Source organism: Homo sapiens, chromosome 8 (assembly GCF_000001405.40).
Source record: "Homo sapiens chromosome 8, GRCh38.p14 Primary Assembly".
NCBI classification, from domain to species: domain Eukaryota; kingdom Metazoa; phylum Chordata; class Mammalia; order Primates; family Hominidae; genus Homo; species Homo sapiens.
The window spans coordinates 80,318,332-80,324,491 of NC_000008.11; the positions used below are offsets into that span (position 1 = coordinate 80,318,332).

The 6,160-nt window shown below is 41.1% G+C and overlaps 1 annotated feature.

The window, feature by feature from the left end:
- Positions 4,500 to 4,649: an enhancer, noted in NCBI's record as "active region_27564". NCBI's record gives its function as "activates an Ori minimal core promoter by ATAC-STARR-seq in GM12878 lymphoblastoid cells {active_cell/tissue: GM12878}" and the evidence as "EXISTENCE:reporter gene assay evidence [ECO:0000049][PMID:35858748]".

Genomic DNA, 6,160 nt, shown 5'->3' on the forward strand with positions numbered 1-6,160 from the left:
GTGCAGTGGTACAATCGTGACTCATTGCAACCTCTGCCTCCTAGGTTCAAGCGAGTCTTCTGCCTCAGCTGCCTAAGTAGCTGGGACTACTGCACACACTACCATGCCCAGCTAATTTTTTTTTTTTGAGACGGAGTTTCGCTCTTGTTGCCCAGGCTGGAGTGCAATCTCGGCTCACCGCAACCTCCACCTCCTGGGTTCAAGCGATTCTCGTGCCTCAGCCTCCCGAGTAGCTGGGATTACAAGCATGCGCCACCATGCCAAGTTAATTTTTGTATTATTAGTAGAGACGGCGTTTCACTATGTTGGCCAGGCTGGACTTGAACTCCTGGCCTCAGGTGATCCACCTGCCTCAGCCTCCCAAAGTGTTGGGATTACAGGTGTGAACCACTGTGCCTGGCCTAATTTTTGTATTTTTAGTAGGGATGGGGTTTCACCATGTGGCCAGGGTGGTCTCAAACTCCTGACCTCAAGTGATCCACCTGCCTCAGCCTCCCAAATTGCTGAGATTATAGGCATGAGCCACCGTACCTGGCCAGATAAATTATTCTTTAGGTTTTATCTTAAATATCACTTAGTCAAAGAACTTCTGTGAACTCTCACCCACAGTTTGTACTCCTTCTCAGCTTTATAAGTTATATTTGTATAACTCTTCAATTTTCCTGCTGCTAATCTCTATGCCCCATGGGGGCAATGAACTTATTGTGCCTGACACACAATAGGCATAGAATAAATAATCGGTGAAGCAATAGTTAAATTTTCAGAAATCTTTTACTTCCAGCTATTAACATATTTAATATTTACTTACAACAATAGATCTGAATAACTCTTTTCATTAATTAGGTTGCATTAATTGCAAGTGTGATTTTTTTTAATTTTCAAAATTAATTTTTTTTTTTTTTTTTTTTTTAGAGATGGGATTTTGTTATGTTGACGGGGCTGGTCTTGAACTCCCAGCCTCAAGTGGTCCTCCTGCCTCAGCCTCTCAAAGTGCTGGGATTACAGGTATGAGCCACTGCACCCCGCCTGATTTTTTTTTTAACTTTTGACCAATAAAATAAATTATTTGAAGGTTTAAAAATTTTGTATTTTTCCCCCTAGACTTTCTGTCTTTATATAGAGATGGTAAGAAAAACCTTCTACTTTGGGCGCTATAATTTAATTAATAATATAGCTGTCATTTATTAGATACTTGCTATTTTCCAGGGATAGTCCTCAGTGCACAGTGTGTATTAGTTAATTTAAAACAAGTTTATGGGGCTGGGTGCAGTGGCTCATGCCTGTAATCTCAGCACTTTGGGAGGCCAAGGTGGGTGGATCACCTGAGGTCAGGAGTTCGAGACCAGCCTGACCAATATGGTGAAACCCCGTCTCTACTAAAAATACAAAAATTAGCCAGGCGTGGTGGCACGTGCCTGTAATCCCAGCTATTCGGGAGGCTGAGGCGGGAGAATCGCTTGAATCCAGGAGGTGGAGGTTGCAGTGAGCTGAGATGGCGCCATTGCACTCCAGCCTGGGCGACAGAGCGAGACTCCATCTAAATAAATAAATAAAACAAGGTTATGAAGTAGTTATTATTTTCACCCTTGCACTGGAGTGTAATTTTATCGCTTTGTTCATTGCTCCAAGGGCAGCATGAAGGAGGCCTCTGTCTGTTGCTGACATACCTCTTCATTGGGTCATATTTTACAGTTAGTTACACTAGATTCTGCCATGACAGGAACTTTTTCCTGGCTCGTGCAGACAGCTCTCAGGCCTCACTGCCAGAGGATTGTTTCCCGTCATGTGCTGTCTCTTGCATCACAGCTTCTTCTCCGGTGGCTTTGGCTCCATCTTATTTCGTGACTGCCAGAGGAATTTATCTGGTCATGCATTGCCCTTGATGTCACAGTAGCCAGTCCCTGTGATTTCTTTGAATATGGTGGTTCTTCTAAAGGTGTTCAGAAAGGAGAATACTGCAGGGGACCTGCACTTGGCTCCTATCCCGAATCCTCTTGGGGCATAAGGATGGGAAGCAGTGAATATGTCAGGGGAGCTGGACAAGGCCTTGAAGCTGAGGGCACAGGTTCTGGAGCCAAATAGACTTGACTTCAAATTCAGCCTTCATCTGTTACTAGGGGTGTCCCTGGTCATGGCAAATGACACAGGCCAGTGCTGGGGTAATGCAGAAAGGAGGAGAACCATGCAGGCTGGAGGGGTCATGAACAGCCACACGGAGAGGGAAGAACCTACCAATTTTTTTTTTTTTTTTTTTTTTGAGATGGAGTCTCGCCCTGTCACCCAGGCTGGAGTGCAGTGGTGCGATCTCAGCTCACTGCAGCCTTGGCCTCCCGGGTTCAAGCAATTTTCCTGCCTCAGCCTCCTGAGTAGCTGGGATTACAGGCAGGAACTATCATGCCTGGCTAATTTTTGTATATTTAGTAGAGACGGTGTTTCACCATGTTGGTCAGGCTGGTCTCAAACTCCTGACCTTGTGATCCGCCTGCCTCAGCCTCCCAAAGTGCTGGGATTACAGGGGTGAGCCACTGTGCCCAGCCTGAACCTACCTTTTAGGATGAGTAAAATTTGGACAAATAGAAGGGAGCAAAAAGATATTCTAGGCTGGGGACAGCAGCATGCACCAAGGCGTAGAGTTAGGAGTGAGCATATAAGAAGATAAAATAAGTCAAGAGTGATTCTAAGATGCAATATTTTTGGGGGTCACGAAATGAGAAATTGGAAGATGAGCTAACTTGCAGAACAATGGAGAGTTTAATTTTGGACTCATGAATTAGCATTTCCTATGGAATGTCCAAGCAGAGAGTAGTCAGAGTTGCAGACAAGATTTAAATTTAGGCAAGAAGGCAAGAGCTGGAAAGGTATACACAGTAGACATGAGAAAGAGCTGTACCTTAATGTAAAGGCTTAGAGAAAAGAGGAAACATGTTTAATGAAGATGTGTTCAATAAACAGAATAAATGAAGGAAGAAATGGAAGGAAGAAAGAAGGAAAGGAGGAGAGAGAGAAAAGAAAAGAAAACGGTTGGATGTGTGAATGAAGAGAGAAAAGAATAAAATTGTGGCCATGTGGCATCATGGAAGCCCAGGGAGGAGAAAGTTCAAAGAAAGGAAGAGCTGTCAAATAGCATCCAATAGCAATTTAAGATATATATTTCTAGTTGGAAGGCAGAGGAAGACATCCAATTAAAGATAGTCCAAAAGTAGCATTAGGACATGGAGGCGGCTGTTATATAAAAATTTTGAAAGTAAGACAAAGATGCCCATTATCACTGCTATTATTTTACATTGATTTGAAACTTCTAATTCAATGCATAAGTACAAGAGAAAGAGGTATAATTATTGAAAACAAACAAAACAAATGAGCAAAACATTAACTCTTTGTAAATCATATTATCCTCTACTGACAAATTACCCCAAAGATGTAAGTTTTTTAAAAAACTATTAAAACAAAAAAAATTGACTCAAATTAATTTAAATGTTTACTACAACTAATCAAAATCGCAATTCACTCTTGTGGTGACTTGACAGACCAATTCTAAGTAACAGCAAGGTTAGAAGGCTGGATCCTGTAGACAGCGGTGGTAAGAAACTCTTTTTGGTGAGGTAATCAAAAGATTTTAGGAAAGGAATGTTAATATTCAAGTCTCATATATTCAGTATAAAAACCCCCTCCATTTTCCCAGACATTCAGTAAGATCTGCTAAATACAGAAATGTCTTCTGTGGCAGTTTCAGGGGAGGAAAATCAAACAAAAAGGATGGTCTCCGGCCTTTGGATTGGTTGAGAAAAAAGCAACTTGCAAAGATGAGACACAGTTAAATTCAGTGGAATCAGAACCGGGGGTCAGAAATGACCAGGAGATTGTAAACCCTTGGGAATTTGAAGAAATCTTAGAGAATGAATTGCAACCCCAGTGAAATATGGGAAAGGCCTCAAGCCAACCTTTTCTAAATCTTAAAGTTCAGGGTAAAATTTCAGTTGGCATATCAGTTACCTATGTGGAAGTTGTAAATTTTTTAGAAATCTCTAGAGAAAAGACAAAATATTAGTAGCACATATGTCTATAATATTAAATTATCAATGATTTTATTCTTTATACTTTTCTGAGTTTTCTGAATTTTCTATAATGGGCATGCATTCTTTTATAAGAAAAGTCTGTTAGTAAAAAAAGAGAAGAAAATAAAGCTGGGCATAGTGGTGCTCGCCTATAGTAAAAAATAGTTATTATGATTATTTGAAGTGGAGTTCTTGTCACCCAGGCTGGAGTGCAATGGCGAGGTCTCAGTTCACTGCATCCTCTGCCTCCTGGGTTCGAGCAATTCTCCTGCCTCAGCCTCCAGAGTAGCTAGGATTACAGGCGCCCACCACCATGCCTGGCTAATTTTTGTATTTTTAGTGAAGATGGAGTTTCACCAGGTTGGCCAGGCTGGTCTCGAACTCCTGACCTCAGGTGATCTGCCGACCTCGGCCTCCCAAAGTGCTGGGATTACAGGCGTGAGCCACTGTGCCCGGCCAATATTATTATTATTTTTTTTTAAAAAGGAGAGAACTAGGATGAATGCTTGAATGGAAGGCAGGGTCAAATAAAGGTTTTCAAGTTTGCTCGCTTGGGGATTTCTAGGAGGGCCACAGTAAATGACTCATCGTCAGTCAGTTATGCATCATGATTCTCACTTTATATGCTTTGCTGTCATTTTAGAACCAAGCACCCAGGGTGATCAGTGGATCTCTTCCCACTGATACCTCCCTCTTCTGACGCCACACACAAACCACACCAATTATACACTCTCTTGAAATGTTGTCTAGTTGTTTCATGTGCTTAAATATTAAAAAAAATTTTCTCATGGACTGCCCATGTGCTGAAATATTATTTTGCTAACTAGGTTATAAATGTATGTATAAACATGTCATGGCTTATATTTCTGTTGATTTTTCCTGTGACTCCTAATAATTAGCTAATCTATGTGGTTATTTATTTATTTATTTATTTATTTATTGAGACAGGGTCTCACTCTGTTGCCCAGGCTGGAGGACAGTGGCATGATCTGCAGCCTCTGCCTCCCAGGTTCAAGCAATTCTCCTGCCTTAGCTGAGTAGTGGGGACTACAGCTACAGTTCCGAGTAGCTGGGACTACAGGTGCCCACCACCACACTGGGCTAATTTTTGTATTTTTTAGTAGAGACGGGGGTCTCGCCATGTTGGCCAGGCTGGTCTCAAACTCCTGGCCTCAAGTGATCTGCCTGCCTCGGCCACCCAAAGTGCTAGGATTACAGGCGTGAGCCACAGTGCCCAGCCTGGCCGTAATAACTCTTAAAGACCATATTCACATAAACTATGTTAGCATGGGCTTCCAATTTTTCATAAGATCTCCTCCACGAGGCAGCCTAGGAAGATGCCTACTGTAGTTAATCAAATTATGCTTGATGAACTGATGGTAGGTTGATATTAGTTCCTTATTGCTGTAGAGCTATGGAATTGTATTTTACATTGATATCTGTATTTAGAGCTATAGAGTTGTATTTTTATCAAATTAGTGCCTTTCTGTGTAAGTTCCTTGCAGGCATTCACGTTTGTATTCTCCTGCACCTATTGTAATGCTTAGCACATAGCAATATCTCTAATAAATGTTTGGAGGCAATGACCTCATTTGGCTTCCAAACAACTCAGCAAGATAGTTAAATACAAATAATGATAAAAATATAACAAGAATTAAGTACTAATTGAATACTTCTGTGTGGCAGGCATTATGTTGAGCATGTCATATGGAATATTTCATTCACTCCTTACTTATTCTGAAAGAGGTAGGGCTCTGATTATTTCAGTTTATGGATGGGGAAACAGGATCTTAGAAAAGTTAGCTGGTTTGAGCAGTGTCTATGTAAGAAGTTGCAGAGCTGGGAGAAGAACTGGGGTCTTCTCATGAGAAAATCAGGGCTCTTCCTATTATCTTCTACCTTTCATAAAACCAGGTTTTGCCTCAATATTTGAGATTCTCATTTTTCTCAACTGGGAAAAAAAGCTGAGTTTCTTAGAATAAAATATAAGAAGCCTAAAATATGTAATAAAAGCACTCTGCTCAGTACAAAGGGATTAACTATTTAATGCCAGTGTCAGCCACCACAAAACAAATGAAAACTTTATGCCAATAGAGTATGACTTT